The sequence below is a fragment of the Homo sapiens genome, chromosome 4, assembly GCF_000001405.40.
Source record: "Homo sapiens chromosome 4, GRCh38.p14 Primary Assembly".
Lineage (NCBI taxonomy): Eukaryota > Metazoa > Chordata > Mammalia > Primates > Hominidae > Homo > Homo sapiens.
The window spans coordinates 173,233,623-173,255,243 of record NC_000004.12 but is presented as its reverse complement, the minus strand read 5'-3'; the positions used below and the strand labels follow the sequence as shown (position 1 = coordinate 173,255,243).

General features: G+C 38.6%; 1 protein-coding gene across 11 annotated transcripts in view, besides 3 other annotated features; it reads right to left on the bottom strand.

The window, feature by feature from the left end:
• Nucleotides 1-21,621, bottom strand: part of GALNT7 (polypeptide N-acetylgalactosaminyltransferase 7) — a 155,157-nt gene that overhangs the window by 68,724 nt on the left and 64,812 nt on the right. For all 11 annotated transcript variants that reach the window (XM_047415780.1, NM_001375599.1, NM_017423.3 and 8 more), the window contains one exon: nt 6,804-7,264. In XM_047415780.1, coding sequence (XP_047271736.1) covers nt 6,804-7,264 — 461 coding nt within the window. The remainder of the gene's footprint in view (nt 1-6,803; nt 7,265-21,621) is intronic.
• Nucleotides 428-477: an enhancer, noted in NCBI's record as "active region_22156". NCBI's record gives its function as "activates an Ori minimal core promoter by ATAC-STARR-seq in GM12878 lymphoblastoid cells {active_cell/tissue: GM12878}" and the evidence as "EXISTENCE:reporter gene assay evidence [ECO:0000049][PMID:35858748]".
• Nucleotides 8,229-8,298: a silencer, noted in NCBI's record as "silent region_15807". NCBI's record gives its function as "represses an Ori minimal core promoter by ATAC-STARR-seq in GM12878 lymphoblastoid cells {active_cell/tissue: GM12878}" and the evidence as "EXISTENCE:reporter gene assay evidence [ECO:0000049][PMID:35858748]".
• Nucleotides 8,319-8,368: a silencer, noted in NCBI's record as "silent region_15806". NCBI's record gives its function as "represses an Ori minimal core promoter by ATAC-STARR-seq in GM12878 lymphoblastoid cells {active_cell/tissue: GM12878}" and the evidence as "EXISTENCE:reporter gene assay evidence [ECO:0000049][PMID:35858748]".

Sequence of the window (21,621 nt, the reverse complement as noted above, 5' to 3'; positions counted from 1 at the left end):
TCAAGGGTAAGAAGGCACTTCAGGGAGAGAGGGATTCAAGATTGCTGCTACTCTGCTAATGGAAGTTTAGAGAAACAAGTTACCTTGATTTCCAGTTTTTGTAGCCTCACTGAAATAAATATGGTACCTCCCTAAACTGCTGTAGAAATGGGGGTAACGTAAGTTAACTCCTGTTTTTTAAAATAATTTCAGTTTGTCTAAATGCATCTGTTGTTAGCCAGAACCTTAAACAAAAATCAACTTGAGAAAATTCTAACATGCAATGTGTATATGTTTTTGTGTTTATATGTGTGTGAAGAAGAAAAGTAGACATCAGAACACAAGGACTTATTTTAAAGTAAATCTGGAAAACCCCTGAATTCACAAAGTAGTCTAGTTTCCAAGAGTAAAAATTTTCAGGTCAGTAAGCAACATGTCCATCTTGGGTCATGTGAAACCACTTTCAAATGTGTTTTCTGAACATTAGACCTAAAATTGCCAAACTGTAGTCTGAAAAATAAAATATGTTTTGGGCAATCTATGTAAAAAAGGGATTGTGTGTGAAAAATTGTCATCAATTAGTTTGGATGGTCACATAGAACCACCACATATTCCAAAAACAGAAACTAGGGCAAAGTACAAATACCTCTGCATATACATGATTCATATATGTATGTGTATGTATGATTTCTATATATTCTAAATATTTGTCTTAATGTTTTATGAGTAGTTTAAGGTTTTAGCTCTAGCTGAAATCTATGGATCAAGATACATAAAACAAAACTAAAAGGAAAGCTATAGCATTCCAATTAAATCAATGTTTTAAAAATAGCAACCATTTTATAAATTATAGCAATACATTCTAAATAGCTTGGTAGATATCAAAGAGAACCTTTAATATGGATAGAGAATAAGAAAACCTCACAAACACAATTCACCTTAGATAAAATTACAGTATAAGAATTAATATTTATTTTGGACTCAGGTAAGAGGAGAATTATCTGGCATATAAGGCATGAGTGTAAATGTAAAATATCTTTTTAAAAAATATTTCCCATAGACAAGCTTAAGAAAGATATTAACGATCTTACTAACATGTGCATAGCTCTTAGAATTTTCAAAGCACTTTTACATCTATCATCTCACTTTGTAATTGCAACTAAGATAGCTTTTCTACAAAACAGAAATGCAAAAGGTGTGTAAGTGGGAGAAAAGGTTAAATATTAGAAGCAAATGAATTCATTCAATAAGTCAAAATATTTAATTCATTTGTTTGAATCAGAATACCTCCGATTGTCTGCTTTGTTGGGCAGAAAAAAAGGGTAAGAATATTTCCAAGTGTTTGCATCAGCAGTTCACAGTAAAAGGAAATAAAATCCCAAACTTTATCAGAAGAAAATCTAACCTATCCACAAACAGAATTTTCTACTTCTTCCCATAAACAGGCTCCTTATCCTGACTGGCTCTGCATGAATTCATCTAAACCGGGCAGCAGACCAGTTCAGGTAAACGAGCTTTGGGCAGAGTGGACTGTTCTATCCTAACCAGCCTCTTTCTGTTAATGGCACCACTCCTCTTTGTGTTACTGAGCTTCAAAGCCTTGGATTTATCTTTGATTTCCCCTTCCACTCCATCACCTCCCAAGGCCTACTGCTTCTAACTCTTTTGTTCTCTTACACTGAATCTCCTTTTTCTGGTTCTATAACCTCCACTGGAGTTCCCACTCAAATGCCACTAACCCTCTAACAGGCCTCCACCCCCTAATCTACTCTAACACCTCTACTAGTTTGAAATCCCCAAAGTTCTCTTTATAAACCTTCAGTGGGTCTTCCCAAATACCAGATTCAATGTAGACTCTGTGAATGGCATGTAGTCTTCCAATGCCCTACTATCTTCCCAGCTGTATTTCCCTCCACATACCTCCAGATCCAAGTAAACCGCACTACATGCTCATGTCTTCTACTACATGTTCAAGTGCCCTCTTCCTGAAGGCACCCTACTCATCCTTCAGGGTCTTCCCTAGTATCCCCCTCAGAAAAGAAAACTATCTTTTACTTTTCTTTGAGATGGGCTCTCACTCTATCACTCAGGCTGGAGTGCAGTGGTGTGATCTCGGCTCACTGCAACCTCTGCCTCCTAGGCTCAAGGGATCCTCTCACCTCAGCCTCCCAAGTAGAAGAGACCAGAGGGATGCGCCAACACGCCCAGCTGATTTTTTTGTATTTTTGGTAGAGATGGGGTTTTACCATGTTGCCCAGGCTGGTCTCGAACTCCTGGACTCATGCGATCAGCCCACCTCAGCCTCTGAAAGTGCTGGGATTACAGGCATGAGCCACCATGCCTGGCAAAGTATCCTTTTCTGACTCCCCTGTAACTTGACCTCTCACTCCTCTGAACCACATTATTAAAATACCTTTCTAATGGTTCTTACATTCTGCCTTACATTATGGCATTCTTTCCTTTCTCCCTAGTGGTAGATGGTGAGCCCCTTGAAGGCAGGGACAGTGCATTACATATTAGAGATACTCAATATCTGTTGAACTGTGAAGAAAATCATATTTGTATTTTATAGAAAAAAGTGTGAAGGCAGGTGAAGTCATTCTTGGCTCAAGTCTTTAAAAAAGAAGCAGGCCTCCAGTTCACTCAAAATACTGTTACTCACCCTTTTAACACGCAATCAACAGCCAATAAATTACTCAGTCAGTGAATGTAATTCAAAGCTATCACATACAGAAGTGTGAGTCATGCCAGCAGCTGGACAGTTCTCTCCTGCTTCTAGGGAAGAGAACATTCATCTACAAAGACTACACAACAGCCGCAAGAACGAACAAGCTAACCACAGTGTCAGATGTCACAGCTGGACAAACAGCCCAAGCCTGGTCTCTAAGCTATGCAGGTGCCTCATTTCTATGACAGACAGAGGCAGGAGAACAAGGCTGTTAGGGCCTGTGTTCTGAAGCGGCAAAAAGCCAGCCACAGCAAGCCAGCTTCTGAGGGGCTCCAAGCACATTCCCCATGAGGGATGAGGATGAGGAAGGGTGCATCCTCATGTGCACAATATGGATGTGCGATATGTTTTCAATATGTTGCTAGTAAAAGCAGACAAGTGCTAATATGCATATTAGGTAATATGCAACACTTAGGCGATTTTTATTCATGGTTGGTTATTATTTTAGAGAAAAATTCCAAAGATTGTCCACATTCTAAAGTATAAATAATTTTACTTAGAAAAGTATGTTATACTCTACACTGAATTGTAAGTGTTCAAAAAGGAATGAAGCCTATCTCATTTTTTTTAAGTGGGAGAAAGAATCCAGTTTAAAAAATAATTTGGATTCAGTTTAAAAAAGTTTCTGGGATTTATTATATTTGGGCATTTTGAAATATTAAAAAATGACTTTTATCACTAGTATAGGATTTCAAAGAGAGGCTTAGGAGCATTTACTAAAATAGATTTGGGCCTTTTAATTTTACTGGAGACACAATATTTACAGAAATAATACACAAAAACATGCAATGTCCTATTTCTAGGCACTGCTCCAGTTGTGCCAGAGGAAAGAACACGGGACAGAACTGGCTATGCAAGGCATGGAAGAAGGAAAGAAAGGAGACAGGAAGGAAACTGCGGGGTGCAAGGAGGACTCAGAGATGCGAGGTTCCCATGGAAATCAGTGTGTCTGAAATTTTCAAAGGAAATGAAGGCTTTAGCATCATGGAAGGTACTAGTAGAAGCAAGAGGATGTAGACAAGGCAATGTGTGACATTTATGTTTTCCAAAAAGCAACAGAGCCTATCAAAGCTAAATAGTAACTGAAAACATTCGAATGTTGACAACAAGGTAAGGAAGAAAATACCATAGCAGTAAAAACAGCTAATAATACTCAGGTTTCTAACCAACAGGCTAATAAAAGACTTTTTGTAGTCAATTATGTCATTTTAATTCTAATGCTAATCCTGAGAGATTGGTATGGTTAGATCTGTCTTAACGTTTAGGTAACTGAGGGTTAGAGAGGACAAGTAACTGGTCAAAGATCTCACATCTAGTGATGGCATCAAGGTTTGAACCCTGGCTGATTTCATTCACACGTTCATTCATTCTCGACAGATATTTACCAACTGGGTACTACTACTGAGTTCCTACTTGTCAGTTACTAGGCTTACAAATAGGCATAGTTCTTGCTCTTAGGAACTTATCTAATGAGAAAGGCAGCCAATAAACAACTTAATAAACCAATATCTAATTATAAAATTTGATAGATACCATGAAGAAAATGGCTAAAGAGAAGTAATAGAGAATAAAGTGGGGCCTTAGCAAATTAGACAGCATGGTTAGAGAAGTGCAAGAGAGGCCTAAAGGATGGGAAGGAGCCAGCCCGTCATGGGAAGAAAGGAACAAGCATTCATGGAGGAGGGAAGAGCATATGCAGAAGACCTGAGACAGGCCAGCACAGCTGGACTATGTGGGCAAGAAGTATAGTAGCAAGAAGAGGTCTGCAAGGTGGGTAAGGGCCACAGCGTGGGGGCTGCTGCACGTTAGGAGTTTGGGTTTTAAGTGCAATGGGAAGGCACAGAATGGTTTTAGATTTGGGTTTCTAAAAGACCACACTGATTTCTGTCTGAAAAAAAAGACAGTAAGAGGCAAGAGTAGAAATGGAAAGACCAGTAACGAGACTTCTGCAGGATTCCAGGAGAGATGATGGTTGCATGGCCTCAGGTGGAGGTAGAGGAGAGGAAAGAAGCGGACCTCAGAAGTGATCTGGGCTACATTTTGGTGGCAGAACCAAGGGGCCTTGCTGATGGACTGGATGTGAGGGGTGAAGGGGAGGAAGGCACAGAGGATGTCTCTAAATCCTGTGCCCTGCTTTAAGCCTTGTACATCATTTAATTTTCTTATTTCTTATATTGAAAAGTTAGCTATATTTATATTGGTGTTTTAAGTGACATATTTTTAAATAAACAGTTTATGTGCTAAAATTTCTTGTTTCCACACTGTTAAGCTCACCCTCTGATTGTAACATCTGCACTGAGGTACACTACTCAGAGAGAGAGATATATACCTCAGGTGTGCAGTGATGGAGACAAAGGGGCTTTCACACCAAATCACCTAGGGGCGACTCACAGTTTTGCCATTCTTCTAGGTAAATGCAAAGAAGTCACAACTCTGTCTGAGCCTCAGACTTCACACACACAGGTAAGAGCTCTCTCACAGTTTGGTTGTGAGAATTCAATAACTTTATACTAAGTCCCAGCCTGCAGCAGAAAGTCCCTTCCCTTCTCCCTCATTACAGTGATGAAATGCCACCAGTCATTTCGCAAAGCACCTCTGTAACAGAGATGAGGGATCTGACTGAGTGCTGCACTGAGGATAACTGAGACACGTTCTAGACGAGGGACTCGAGATCCTGTTAGGGGTCCTAAAGGGTCCTCACATGGCAGCTGTAACTCTTTAACAACCATCTTTATCTCCTGACTAAGACTGCCAGATAAAACACAGAACACCGAGTTAAAATTGGATTTCAGGGAAATCCAATTTAAAAAAATTTTTAAGTATGTCCCATGCAATATTTGGAACATATACTAAATTTTTTAACCATTTATCTGAAATTCAAATTTAATTGGGCATCTTGTATTTTTATTTGCTAAATCTGGCAATGCTATCTATGACTAGGCAAGTCTCTACTGGGAATAAATTACTCTAAGATTCTTCCTTCACAGCCCTGGGAGATGCTCTGACTGTTCTCTGTATAAGAGGTTGTATCACTCACCATCACACTGCTGCACTTCCACTCCTACCTTCTTTGCACATTTCACTCATCTCTTCTCACTTTTACCAGTAAATGTACAGGAATGCTCAAAGTCTATTAAATGGCATTATATTGGACACAGGATTTTACTTAGCGGTCATAAAGAATGCTGGTGAATAGGTGTGAGTGTGTGTGTGTACATGCATACGTGTATGTGAACAGGTATGGGAGTGTGAGCACCTGCTGTATTAACCTTTTAAAAATGAAGATTATGCTAACAATACATCATCAGGAATACATTTTGAGTGTTTTCTAGTAGCAGTGAATTAAATTTCCAACTACATTAATGAAAGCTATGTAGATCCTATAGTAGTAGAACCAGTTATTGAATAAACTGAAAGAGAAAAGCTTTGAGTTCATTCAGTAATCACTATCCATCAAAAGTTAAGAGCTGAAAATCCTTCATTTAAAAATCATACTACATGAAAAGAATTGGAAATCTTAGGTCACAGTTTTATCTATCTGAGTGTTACTTTTGCATATAGTAAAGTGTTTCAATTTCCAGTTTCAGTACTGAGGGAAAAAAATTAAAGGAAACATAAATCTAGTTAATGATGTGAGACACCCAGAACACTGTTACTGTTTGCTATTGTTCCACAACAAGATAAGGCACTTGCTCCAGAATGAAAATCAACAAATCAAGGAAGTTTTGCTATTAAAAAGTTGTCACTTAAACTAAACAAAATATTTAATAGTGTAGTTGACTTACATCCTGGTGCAAGCTCATTTTCTCACTGTGGACTGGTAACAAAAAATTCATTGACCAGTGCCAGTCTGGGGACCATATTTTGAATAGCACTGACGTAGAGGGCCCCAGAATTTTATACAGCCCACCTTCAATACAATGGCATAAATGGAGGGACTGCCTCCTTCTGACCATTTTGCTGTTCAAAGATCCTCTTATTTCCTTGAAATAAAGGCATCAATAATTATTTCTTCATTCTAACAATCTAACTAAACCTAAAAACCTATGAAAACAACAGTTGCCCCATTTTTAGAAAGAAGAGGATGTGTGCTTACTCTTCTTGGCGTAAGTCATTGACGCTGCGGTCCAGTGAGATCATGTCACTTGCCACCATGTTAAATCCAAACTCTTTAATGCTGGCTTGAATTGCTTGTTTGAATTCTGGTCCCAAAACCAATGGCTTGGCTTTCTCTCCAGGGCCACCAACCACTCCAGGAGGCTCAGGTTCTTTGGGTTCAAAGTTACCGAGGATCCCTGGGCGAAGCACAGGATCATGGTAGGTGAATGTCTGAGGCTTAAATGTGAGATACTGCCTCTGCATGATATCTTTCTGGGAATCTCCTCCAGCATGGTGCTCTTGTTCATTTTTGGCCTTGTTTATTCTTCTAATAGACTCTAAGTCCACTTCTACTCCTTCAACATGAGGCCATGGTACCACAGGTTTGAATCTGTCCTCCCCAGGAGCTAGTCCATTGCCGCCTCGGTTGGGCATGGGGTCATTGACATCTCTGTCTTCCTATACAAAAGGGAGGGGATATACAATGAGTACATGAAGGCAAACCACCACAGTAGAGCTCATGAGACCAATTTTCAGGTTTTGAAAAAGGCTGAGGCAACAATAAAACAGTTTGGAATACAAGCGGGCCATTAATCAGGACTTCCCATTAGGAGATATCTTTCAGGGTAGAGAAGAAATACCAAGAAATAGGCTATCTCCTCGCCTTACTATTTCAAAATTAATGAAAGGATGCATTTTTACTTCTCCCTTTACAAATCTACTTCTCTATCAAAGACCTCTTAATAAAGCATATTTTTAAGGGTTAGAGCAAAGAAGTTCTAGAATCTTTGATTAAAACAGATGCTTAATAGGTCATGTTTGTACAGTATGTGGTTTTCCCAGTTGTACCGTGTGTGATAAATATAACCTTTTGTCGGTAGCACAACCATATGGTGGCAGTGGTATTAGATGGATGTCACTGTCAGCAGGCTGGCTCAGTGCCCCAAATGGCAGAGGAACAAGGCGGGGATATGCAGAGTCCCGATTTGGTATTTTTTACTCACTGAGAGTTTATCTGAAATCAGAAGTATAAAAAAAGCTAATATCTGTAACTAAGTCAGCTCGGGCTTTTAAACCACTCCCCCATATCTAGTTTGCCCCATTCCAGAAGCAGCATGGGTCAAAACAGATTCTTTGTACAAGGATATTCATTCACAGTAAAGGGTGCCTCTCTTTTCTGTTTGGGCCGTCTTCATCACCTATGCAGATCTTCCAGTCAGATATCCTGAGTGCTTTTGCTTCTGAGGTATTATTTGTTAAGTTTTTTCCTAAGCCAGTACCATTCTTCGCACAAGACACTGTTTCTCAACATTGGCATCACCTTGATCACTTTAAAAAATGCCAATGTCTGTGTCTTACCCTCAGACATTGTGATTCAATTGGTCTAAGCATTTCGATTTTTAAAAGCACTCCTGGTGATTTAATATACATCTAAGCCTGAGAATCACTGGCTTAATGGGAGGGCTGCTCGTTATAATTAGACAAGGGGATTATAGAGGACACAGCTGGTGAAGAGGCAAGGTGCATACAGAATAAATGCAAAATAGGCTGATGGGTCTGCCACTTCCCTCTACACTAAAACTGTGTGATTCCCCAACAGAGTAGTCATAGAATTAGCACCACCCGACCAAAATCTTTCTACAGGGTTAGAGCTACCTTGAAAAGTAAAGTTTACTAGTTTGCCTTAAAAAATACAAAAGTAAGTCTCTAAGTATGATGTTGATGTGTAGGCTGCTCTCTATTAGTAGTTTATTTAGAGGCAAAAACCTTTATAGAAAGTCAGTTATTTCAGACGTGAAATTAGTAGTCAAGGGATCGCTAAGTCTTGATTTTCAAGAGTTCAAAAAGAAATTTTTAAAAATTTTCTATTTGTTTAGGTAACATAGGCATACAACACAAAATTCAAAACATCCAAAAGGGCATGTAGTGAAAAGCAAGCTTTCCTGCCTTTCCTTCTGCAGGGGTAATTACAGCTACCAACTTCTTGTGAATTTTTCTACAGATGTGATATGCATGTATAAACATACATGTGTATATATAACAAGATAATTTTTTTTGAAGATGGGACATAAATTTTAACTAACTCATTAAAAAAGGAACCTGTAAGATATTACAACTGGTTCAAAAATAAATCCAAAGGACAAACATAAACATCAAGAATATTGCAAAGAATTTACAAATAGATGCAAATCTGGTTAAATTGGTCACTCTGCATAGGGCAATAATCAATTGCATTCCACCAGAACTATTTCCATTTCAATGGGCAAGAGTCCTTTGCATCACTCTCAGTTTTCTGTAATTTCCAGGATTGTAAAATAGGAAAGGGTGAGATAAGCTGGAAAGTTGAGTTAGACAGACATCTTTTGGGAGCATTTCAAAGTTTTTCACAAGTTCCCCCCTAAATAGAAAAGGCAACACAGCCTGATTGTATAAATGTGATGCCTTTCTTCAGGCATGTGTGGTACAGGGTTGAGAAAGCCTCTAGATCAGCCTTCTGATTGTCCCACCTCAGAGACTTAGCTTGAGCCTAACCTGTGAGCCATACTAAGGGTCAGAGTAAGTGAGTAGAAGGCTGTTTTTTTGGAAATCATATTCAGGAAGAACTGAAGATTCTCTTGGGAATTAACTAAGTAAAGTGTAAGGCACGCATGACTGTAAGAGAGAGGTAAGGGGTGATTCTGATGATGGAAAAAGTGTTCGTTTCTCCAATTTATCTCCTGGCTCCTTCCAAAATTATACTTACTTATGTTAGTGTTGTAAGTAAATTAATATAGAGATATCATTATAAAATGTTGTAACAAACTGGTTCCCAGTTGTTGATGCTGAAACAAGTATAACACAAAAAGGAGAAAGACATTCTCCTCCACTTCAGTTTTTCCTTTCACAGGCTCAAGTGAATTGGTAAACAGGGAGGTAAGGAAATGTTATTAAATATAGAAGAGTAGTTGGAACAGCTCATATGATGTCAGCATCCATAGCCATAGCATCCACTAAGTTACCTAATGTTCCATAGAGAAGAAATTGAATATTAGAAGAATATAGAATATGATAGTACATGAAATCAAATTGTGAAATACACGCCATAGTTTAGGTTGACCTATGCTAATACCAAAATTGCAAATTTAAATATTTTTCAAATTCAACTATTTCAATGACAGAAATTTTAATGGATTAAAAATTCATGTTTATTTTCCTCCAAAAGTTGTTTTTTTTTTTTTTTTTTGACTTAATGGTTCTTTGTCTAATCTTAAACTGTTAGTGTTCTTCAGGGTTCTGTTATTAGTCTATTTGTCATTCCATCCTCATTCTAGGTTATTTCATTCTCTTCCAAGCTCAGTGACCAGTTTTATAGTGATCACTGCTACATCCATTTCCCCAGCCCGTATCACCTTTCTGAACTCAAAACCTTACAGGCAACTTCTTCCTGAACATTTCTATTCATATCTCTCTAGTACCTAAATTTAACATACCAAAAACTGAACCTATCATTCACCTCACATCACAAGCCTGTTTCACTGACTGTCTCCTTACTTCAGGGACTGAAACCACCATTCACTCAACTGATGAAATCCAAAACCTGCAATCACCCTCAACTTTTTATTCTCTTTTATCTACCCTTCTGACATCCAATTAATCATAAATTCCTGTCAATTCTATCACCTGTGTAGAGCCTCCATCTGGCCACTTCTTTCTATCATCCTCACTGCTACTGCCTTAATTCAGGCACCCTCACCTCTGAACAAGATTACAATAGGAATAATAGTGATGATGGTAAACACTGTGTCCTAAGTGCTTCACATACATTAACTTATTCAATCCCATGAGTTAGGTACTATGATTGCCATGTCTATTTTATAGATGGGACATCTGACAGGGAAGTTACCTAAGATTAGAATCAGTATGTAGTAGAGTCAAAATTTCAATCCAAATAGTCTGGCTCAGGATCTACACTCTTAACTACTATGACCTAGTGCTTCTCGCCCTGACACATACTTCCTACACAGCAGCCACAGGGACTTTTCTAAAATTCATACATCAACATGTTTCTTTCCCTGCTTACCATATTCCAGCAGTAGCCCACTGCCCTCTGGAGAATACACACTCCTCAAGGGGGTTGGCAAGGCTTTTCCAGTTCTAGACTGCATTTATGAAATGTCTTCAGCACTATCCATGAGAGAGGGGTCAGCAAACTTTTTCTTCAAAGGGTTAAGTAGTAAACATGTTTGGCTTTGCAGACCACAGGGTCCCTGTGGTAATTATTCAAGTCTGCCTCTGCAGTGTGGGAGCAGCCATAGACAATATGTAAATGAATGGGTATGGCTGTGTTCCAGTAACCATGTATTTACAGAGACAGGTGTTGGGCTGGATTTGGTTCCCTAGTCCCTGCACTAGACTGTAAGTTCTGTGAAAGTGCAGAGGCTATGTCCATCGTACGCACCACTGCATGCCCAGTGCTTATCCTGGCACATAATTCCTCAATAAATACTCACTGAATAAATGAATGAATCCTAAAATTTCTGCTTTGGTGGTAAGATAGACTCCGAAAAGAAAAGGGGAGATAAAGAATGGAAAATACAAAATGGGAGAGCAGGGCTTAAATCAGATAGACCCGTACTGGCAATACCTTATGAATTCACCAAGAACATAACTCTATATTCCCTACACGGCACTGTACTTTTAATAATGCCATATAATAGCACCAGAAAAATTGAATTTGCTCACTTCTCAGAGGCTGCATGTCATTAAATCGGAAGGCAAAACCAAATACAAGAATTGTCTGTCTAACCCCAAGTCAACTAAGAATAATCACATCAAATCTTAATTATATGATTCAAACAACGGCTATAAAGTGGTGTAATACTTTACTCCCCTGAGGAGGAAAGCTACATACTCCTCCTTTCTGAGAGTGAATGAGAATCAGTAGATGCCTCTGTGACTCACTGGTACAATGATACCTTCGTAAACACCAGCTGATCCACTCTACAGCCCAAACTAATGAATCACTGTTAAACAGAAATGGAAAAGAGGATGAGTAGATAATTTTCCAAGATCAGTATGTTCATAAAGGTGGAAATGGACTGAAAAATATAACCACTTATCACTGGATGGTAATATGGATTACCAGAAGTAAGGTCAGGCTAGTAACCATCCACCTTACAACTTACAAAGTGCCCCTTCTTACCCCCAAATCCTGCTTATATGTAATATTTTTCCAAGATGGCCATGCCTTGGTAGAGATAATATAAATCCAAAGGGATTTAGAAAAATGGTCTTTAGAGCAAATGACAGTAACATAGGCTTGTTTGAATTTGAAATCACAGGTGAAGCCTAGAAAACTAAGCTTTTAATGATGAGCTTATGCAGTCACATGATCTCTTGAGAAATGATGACTTAGCTTTAGGAAAGGGCCACTGCTTGAACAACATGCACACTACTTGGTTATCATGCTTCATGAGCCACAGAATTTAAAGGTATAACAAGCCAAACTTCATTCTGTGATTTTAACTCTCTTGATCAAAAACACCTTTCTTCAGAAAAATCCTATCAGCATCCTTTCTCTGGCTGCAGTTACCTAAAAGGAGCAGAAGGAATGGACACAGAAAGCAGAGAGGGAGGTGGTAAAAATAAATAAGCTCCAGAAATTCAGAGGGAACAAGGCGTGCCAGTAGGCTGGGGCTCCCCAGACTCTCACCAACATGTGGCAGGATGTGGGTGGGAATGTGGAGTGCACCAGCCTCAGTACCCTTCTTTCTCTCTGCTTAGTTACAGCTGGATGGACTAGACATTTCCGGCTGACTGAAGAGCTCCATGTCTTGCTCCTTTCAGAGCACTGAGCGATGACTGCATTGGGAGCTGCAGCCCTGCTGGGCATGGTCAAGGAATTTGTGCTTAATCAGGGCTTAAAATGGATAAGCCCAAGATTAAACAGAGACCTTACCAGTCCTTAAATATCTAGAATGTCATCCATACAGGAAAGGACCCATTTCCAAGTATATTTTAATATCCCTAAACTAGAAAGAGATTGAAGGCCACTTTCCAATGGCAATGCCTCTGTTAGCAACTAGGGCAGAACTGAAAATGGATGAAGCATGCTTTCAGGTAACTATGGAAATATAAAAATTCTATATAAGCTCTAGGTGTGGCTTAAAGTATGATATTCTGGTAAGAATTATCTGCTCAAAGAAATAGACCCGCTTAGAGGAATTGCTATTCTTCTTTATCTTTTTTTTCCCTTTCTTTAAGTATCAGGCCAAGATATAAACCAAAGGGTAACAAAATAGAGAAAATAGTAGAGTTGACATCATAATGCTCCACTAAAAGAAATCAAGGTCAGCAACTCTAATACTGTATATTAAACTTAAGCAGGGTAACCAGGCTGAGTACTACACAGTAAACCAGTTCGTCCCAAAGTTACTTTACAGATTGAAACACTGGGACTCTTGACAATGGAGTGATGCCTATTATGGAATAGCTAATAGTTATATCTTTTATTTTTATCTCAAGACTTCTAATATACTATGGTAACTGCAGTTACAAGTGGGCAAGTCTGTGAAGCAGTTTTAGCCACCTACTGGGAAGATTTTATCGGGTTTCTAAGGGGGCATTTTGAGCCAATTAAATGCCACCCCCCTTTAACCAAACAAGCAAAATATATAATACAGTATATAATACAGATCTATCCTGTACTATAATGAAGAATACTGAAATAAATAAGTATCTTCCTAGGCTGCAGGGATCCATGATTGTGCCACTGCACTCCAGCCTGGGGACCAGAGCATGACCCTGTTTCAAAAACAAAGGTATCTTCTTAAAAAGTTGTCTATATCACATTTTTGATCACCTAGTCATCTGAATAAAAGGAAGATTTCCATTATATAAGAGCCTCTCAATAAATCTCACAATTTTGCAACTTGTTAACCAATCTTAGGATTTTTATGCATTACCATTTGGAATTCTTAAAAGAAGTCCCCATCTGTATCAACACAATAATTTTCTAAAGATCTCTGCATTCTGTACAGTAATTATGATCAACTACAGAATATCTAGATGAGGTAAGTTTTAAGTCTTGGGCTCTTTTCCCCCAGTTTTAATGCAATTTCTCCCACATCATTAGTATAATTTCGTGATTTGCCTGACTTAACAGGAAAATTAAATGTACCAAAAATACTACATGCTCATTAGAAAAATATCAACTATTTCTTTTCTTTCTTTCTTTTTTTTTTTTTTTTAAATAGAGATGGGGTCTCACTTTGTTGCCCAGGCTGGTCTTGAACTACTGGGATCAAGCAATCTTGCTACCTCGGCCTCCCAAAATGCTAGGATTACAGGGGATGAACTACTGTGCCTGGCTAATCAACTATTTTTTGTCAATCAACTCTTTGAGTTATTGAAGATAACCTCATATGAAGATTATCCAAAACCATCTACATGTTCTGATGCCTGCTCCAAGCATCCAGTGCAATCCCCTCCCTTCTGGAGACTGAATTCCCTTTTTAAACAGAAGCAAAGCATGCACAGCCATCCCCCTGTTTCTAACCCCCCACAGAGCTTCTTCCTCCAGGTGAAAGATGGGGAGCTGGATCTCAATGTGAAAAACTTTGAACCATTCTAAGAATTTAAAATCATTGAAGAAGCCAAACAAGGGTTAAACAGGTTTGTTCCCACCAGATTTATTTCAATTTAGTATATAAAAAACACTGACATATTAGTCCCATATGTTCTGTCTTTGGACAATAATTATGCACTGATGGTATCCCCAGTCTTAGTTTCGGCTGGGCACGGTGGCTCATGCCTATAATCTCAGCACTTTGGGAGGCCAAGGTGGGCAGATCACCTGAGGTCTGGAGTTCGAGACCAGCCTAACCAACATGGAGAAACCCCACCTCTACTAAAAATACAAAAATTAGCCAGGCGTGGTGACACATGCCTGTAATCCCAGCTACTCGGGAGGCCTAGGCAGGAGAACCTCTTGAACTCGGGAGGCAGAGGTTGCAGTGAGCTGAGATTGTGCCATTGCACTCCAGCCTGGGCACAAAAGCGAAGCTCTGTCTCAAAAAAAAAAAAAAAAAAAAAAAAAAAAATTAGCCAGTGTCCACTTTCCATTGCCATCTCTATTTCAAGTAGATACATTAGTAAGTATTTGACATTTAATCTCAGATCATTGGACATTGTGAGTGAATATACTTTCTGGTGGGGAGGCACCTCTTCACTCAGGCTTTAGGAAAATTGCTCTTCAACTGACAAGAAATATTACCTTTATTTTACCAGAACCCAATCTTAATGGACAAGTATAACTTTCTTTAGATGATATACATTTATTTAAAGTGTTTCAGAGATAAGAGGCTATATTAAGAAGAAAAACTTCAGAAATACAAAATCTTCTAAGTCACAAGTTTGATCTTTTGGAACTCTAGATTATTCCAGTGATTAGGTATAGTTTAAAAGTGGTTTTGGCAGTGATATTAGTAAATATGGGTAACAAATCCGTTATATTTACTCAGAAGTATATAGTACAATTTTGAACAAAATTTAGTTCATCCAAACTAAAGTAGGTGATCAAATTTACTAAAGTTATGCTAAATTTACTTTTAAAGAACCATAACAATGCACGGCATATTTTAAAGGCATCATGGTAAATTACAAAATAAAAACTTCCGATTCTCAACATATAAGTTAAAATTATTACTGGAAAAAGGGAGATTTCATACAAAACCCTTCTTTGTGTTAACACTGTAATGTCTAATGTTCTATTTTGTAAATGTGAACTTACCATTAACTACACAATAGTTCAAACCAGCACATTTAAACTCAGGAACCAGCTCCTGGGAAACTCTGCCCTCCTCCCATGGTCCTGGGTCCTGTTTTGTTTGTTTGTTTTGTTTTGTTTACACAGATGCACTTTCGGCTTTCGTACGTGTGAATATTTCTAACATTGCACTTCTGTATTGCCTTAGTATCTGTATGTTTCTCCCCAGTCAAAGTGAGGGCTCTTTGAGGACAGATACTGTGTATTATTTATCTGTGTGTCCCGAGTACCTAGTAGACAGCAGGTACTCAGTGCATGTTTGTTCATGGATGAGTAAATGGAGAACATCCAGCTGTGGCTCATCTATTATCCTGCTGGAATATAAACTGATTTTGGGTCTATTATCTTATGCCACTGCTTGGCTTGGTTTAAGCTAGCATTTTGGGAATCCAAATGAGATAAGTGAAAACATTATTTCCCTACAAATCTAAAATTTGAATAATCCTTTTTTTAGTTTCTTCTCTTCCTCAGATTTGGATAAATCATGTTGGCACTTCAAGGAAAATGAGTACTTTATTTAAACATGAAAAAGGAAATCTGCTGATGTTAGTCTTAGTTCTCTTGGCCAATTTATCTTGCAAACAGTTCCCTGCTAAATCAGGTCAGAAAAACATGAGTTAATACTCAAGTGGGAATAAATTTTAAAAACAAGCAAGTAATTAAAGGACCAAAATACAGGTTAATTTTTGCAACAGAAAAATAAACAACAAATTGATTATTGTTTTACAAAAAAACTTTTATTCTTAAGACTGTTTAATTGGAGCAGATCAAAGTTATCATAGACAACTAATTAAGAAGTCTATGTAACACATGAAATTTGAAAATATTTATAAAATCTATGTAAGTTCTATCTTTCAGAGACCTTATAAAAATTCATGCTTTGGCTCATCAACTGAATCATAAATATGCATTACAGGTTTTAAAAAATATTTTTTATTGTGAATATTTAACATTAACTCTTTAGCTGATTTGAACTGAACTTGAAAAAAATCACACATAAATATTAAACAGTTAATACATCGTTTTGTAGTATATTTCAAAAGGTGATAAAACTGCATTTGTCAAAGTTTATGCCATCATTTCAGTGGTAAGAGCACGTATGACAAGACAGGCCTATAAACACAAGGCATATGAATGCCACTGAACAGTCCATCTCTCATAGCTACTAAAAGGCTGATAATTATACTTTTTAGAAATAATAAAAGGCTCTAGTAGATTTTAACTCTTCATGTTTAGGAACTAAGCAATTCCTGAATTTTAAAAAGAAAGCTCCTAAGTAGCATTTTTATTCTAAAGATGAGATATCATAAATTACACAAAATATTTTAATAGAAGTCAATATTTTACAAGAAATATCTTACCACATTATTCCTACAAAATGATCTGTCTAAAAATAAGAAAGGTATTGGGAAAGTGAAGAGAAAAAAAATGAAAGCAAAGTAATGAAAGAAAGATTGTAAAATAAAATCTGTGAGAAATTTTAAACATATGAATAATTTATGTATGCATATATATTATGTATGCACATGGAGAGAGGAAATATACATTTAAAAACCAAATGGCTTAGTAGGATAATAAGAAATTAACCCTGCTAAACAGACCCTTCAAAAGAATAACCACAGCATTTCATCAGGTGGAGAAAGGGGAATGGCTTAAAAGCTGAACTGATTGAAAATGAGGTCACATCTGCTCCTCTTCTGCCCACTCACATAATGTTTTGGAGTGAACTTTCAGCTTGTGCCAATCAACCCTACTTTAGTACCTAGAAGAGCTAAGACTCTCTCTTTTCTCGATGCTCTTTAAAATATTTTAAAATAGCATTCCGAATATCAATCCCTGGAGACCACACTGTTAACACTTTTTTTTTTTTTTTAATCCAGGGAAGTACTTATTTAGGCCTATCCTTTGATTCTTGTTTCCAATAAAAGTGCATTTTATAATCTAATACCAGCCAAAGCCAAGCAAACAGTTTAATTCTTAATCCTCCTTCACATCTGGCAAACCCAGTGAAACCATATAATGATTTCCAAACCTTCCTAAAAACCTTATAGGAAATTAAAGTCACCAACAGAAAATAATTCTTATGACACTAAGAAAAACATTTTACTGACTGAGAGCAGAATGAGGTCAAATGTGGCATTTGTGTTGGGAGAGAATGTTTGTTATACCCTTTTGAAAGGCAAAAAAGCAATGTCCTATTATCCCTCTAGGGGAGAAACTCGAAAATGAATATAGCACTGCCACATGAAATGTTACTACTTTGTGCAGCTGGAAATGCATAAAACGGCTCTTCCTCCACTGCATCCCTGCTTTGCCCTGAAGCATGGCTTACATAACAGCTCATAAAAAAAGTATTGCAATGTGTGGCTTTACAACACATACATTATGATTGGTATATGATAACCTTCTCTTGGCAATCTGAAAAAATAACCACCCCAGGGAAAAAAATACCTCAAAGCTTTCAGGGCAGATGTATCATTTTAAAGCCTAGAACAACATTTTATTACCATGGCACGACTAGAAATCCATTTTAGGAGGGTGTGACAATGTAACAGAATTATGTGAGACAGAAAAATACAGTCAGAGTAGATCAAGGTTATTTATGTAATAAACTTTTTGACATTTTACTTTTTAACTATCAAGAGGTCTGTTCTCAAGAAGGAATGCTTATTCAGTGATACTCTGGTTTATCATGAGTGTTATTTGTCATTCAGGTTACTATTTATATGCATCATTAAAAGATAAAAGAACTGTCCTTTCTGTTATCCGAATATTTATTACAGGTCTACTATATGCCAGGTACTCTATATAAAAGTGCCATGTTATAGAAAAAGGCCTTGCCTCTAAGGGAGTCACAGCCTGGAGGAAGGGAATGCCTGAGCAGGCCTAAGTGACCTGATCTGCGTTTTGAAAATAGTAGAGGCTCCCCAGTACATAGGCGGTGGGGATGTAAGGTGGGGCATGAGGAAAAGGCACAAAATCATAAAAACACGGAGTGCTTAGAGAATGCCAAATCATTTGCTATAACAGAAGGGCAGGAGATGAAACTTGAGATACTGGCAAGTTCCTCAGAGGGTCTCTTAAGAACTGCTGAGAGGTTCAGACTTTATCCTCTTACATGGGAGCCATGAGATCAAAGCTGAATTTTGGAATGAGTACTCGGATAGAGCAAATGAGTGGGAAGAGAAGCCAAGATGTTGTCAGAGAGATAAGAAAAAACTTAAAAATAAAATACTACAGAAGGCAAAGTAGGAGAGAATTTCAAGGCAGGAGTGGTCAACAGGGCTAAAAACTGCAGTCATGATGTTGAAGTAACAAGAATGACAAAGTCTGAAGGTATAGGCCAGGGAAGTATGGTAATGGCAGTGCTGCAGTGGGGCTCGCTCGCCAGCTCTCTGATAGACAACGGTGGAGGCCCCAGGAGCATGGAACTAGAAAGGCCTCTGGACTCCTCACGGTTCTCTCCTACCCAGCTAGAGGATGGATCTGTCATACTGCTTTCTACCTTCTAGAGCACACAAAGCATTTTTGTGATCCCCTTGTTGCTGTGCCCTAGACATTCCTTTCAAATGCCTAACTGATGGTTTAACAAATATGTACTGAGTACCTACTATGTACCAGGTTACAGAGATACAAAGGTAAGCAAATACATCCCTGCTTTTGTGGCTCTTTCTGTCCAGTGGGGCAGACAGATAAACAAATAATCATATAAACATGGTGCTGTAAGAAACTTCAAGGAGAATTGATCCAATTTAGGAAGTTAGAAAAGGCTTTCTTGTGGCCGGGCGTGGTGGCTCACGCCTGTAATCCCAGCACTTTGGGAGGCCAAGGCAGACAGATCACGAGGTCAGGAGATCGACACCATCCTGGCTAACACAGTGAAACTCCATCTCTTCTAAAAATACAAAAATTAGCTGGGCGTGGTGGTGGGTGCCTGTAGTCCCAGCTACTTGGGAGGCTGAGGCAGGAGAATGGTGTGAACCTGGGCGGTGGAGCATGCAGTGAGCAGAGATTGTGCCACTGCACTCCAGCCTGGACAACAGAGCAAGACTCTGTCTCAAGAAAAAAAAAAAAAAGAAAAGAAAAGAAAAGGCTTTCTTGAGAATGAGTACATCACTGAGCAAAGATCTGAAAGAACAGAAGTTACTTAGGTGAAGACAGGAGGGAAGAGTATCCCAGGTAGAGAACGTGTTGTGCAAAGTGCCTGTAGAAGGAAGGCCTATGCCAAGCAAGAAGGACTAGATATGGCTGGAGTACAGAGTGAGGCGTGCCTGGGGCAAGGTGAGGCTGAAGATTAGGTAGTAGCTAGATCAAGCCAGGCCTGGTGTCCATGGTAATGCATCTGGACTTCATCTGAGAGCAGTAAAAAGTGAGTTAATAGCTTTAATGTACCTTGGAAGGGACAGAAGCATTTTGAAAACAATCCCCTGGCTGAGTAGTAAGAGAACAGACCTGGAAACAGGCCAGAGTGACTGAGGATAGATTCCAGAATAGACAGCAGTAGTCTGGATAAGAATCTTGGTGGTGGAAGAAAAAAAGTGGAAAGTGGACAGATTCAAGGGTTAATTAGTGTCTTCGCCCATTTGTATTGCTATAAAGAAATACCAGAAGCTGCGTAATTTATAAAGAAAAGAGGTTTATTTGGCTCACAGTTCTGCAGGCTGTATAAGAAGCATGGTACCAGCATCTCCTTCTGATAGGGCCTCAGGCTGCTTCCATGCATGGCAGTAGGGAAGGGAAGCAGGTGTGTGCAGAGATCACATGGCGAGACAGGGAGCAAGATACAGAGAGAAGGAGGTGCCAGTTTTTTTTTGTTTTCTTTTGTTTTGTTTTATAACCAGTGCTTTTGGTAACTAACAGAATGAGAACTCACTTATTACAGTGAAGATGGCACTGAAACAATACATGAGGGATCTGCCTCCATGACCCAATCACTTCCCATTAGGCCTCACCTCCAAAATTGGGACTCAAATTACAACATGAGGTTTGAGGGGACAGACATTCAAATTATAGTAATTACGAAGTAAAATGAGCAACTGTTTTCTTTTGCTATCCAATCATGATGGATTGGATATGTGTGATGAAGGAGAGGGAGGTATGAAGAATGACTTTAAGATTTGTAACTTATACAACTGGATACTATTCACTGAGAGAGGAAACACTGAAATAGACCAGAATTGAAGATGATGAGTTCCCTTTTAGATATGCTGAATTTCAAGTGCTTCTGAAACATTCAAGAGGAGACAGAAACAGAATTTATAGCTCAGTGAAGAGGTCTGGACTGGAGAATATAATTTGGCACAAATCTTTATGCAGATAATAATTGACTCAAGAGCCAATAAGACGAGTGATGGAGAGATTATAAAGTGAGAAAAGGAGAGGATCTTGGATCCCGCCTTGAGGAATTCACCCCTTACATGATGGATGGAAGAGGGTGAGACTATAGAAGAGACAGATGACTAGCCCAATATGTGGAAAGAAAACCAAAAACCAAAACAGTGTGTTCAAGACACAGGGCACGGTGAACTATGTCGAGAAGCCAAGCAAGATGAGGATTGCATTTGGTAACGTGAAGTTGAAGCTGACTGATAACTTCAGTGACAGCTGTTTTGGCAGGGTAATGGTGTCAAGAGCCCAACTGGAGTGAGTGGAAGTGTGGAGTTGGGAGATGTGGAAACGATACAAACAAGAATAGACAACATTTTTTGAAAAATTTGATTTGCCTGTTAAGGGATGAATAGAGATGAAGAGGCAGCTGGAAGAAATATGAAGTGGAATGAGAAAATTTAGTTTGTTTTTAATAGGAAAAGCTTGAAGATTTTTAAAAGCAAAGGCAAGGGTGAGACATTAAAAAGCATGTGAGAGAAGGGGTAATCAAGTGCACAAAGTTCTTGAGAATGAAGAAGGGATGGGAGCCAAAGCAGTCATGGGGACTGGCCTGGCTGGGAGGCGGACAACCCCTCTGATGTAATAGGAAAGATGGAATTGGTGCAGATACTGGCATTGTTCT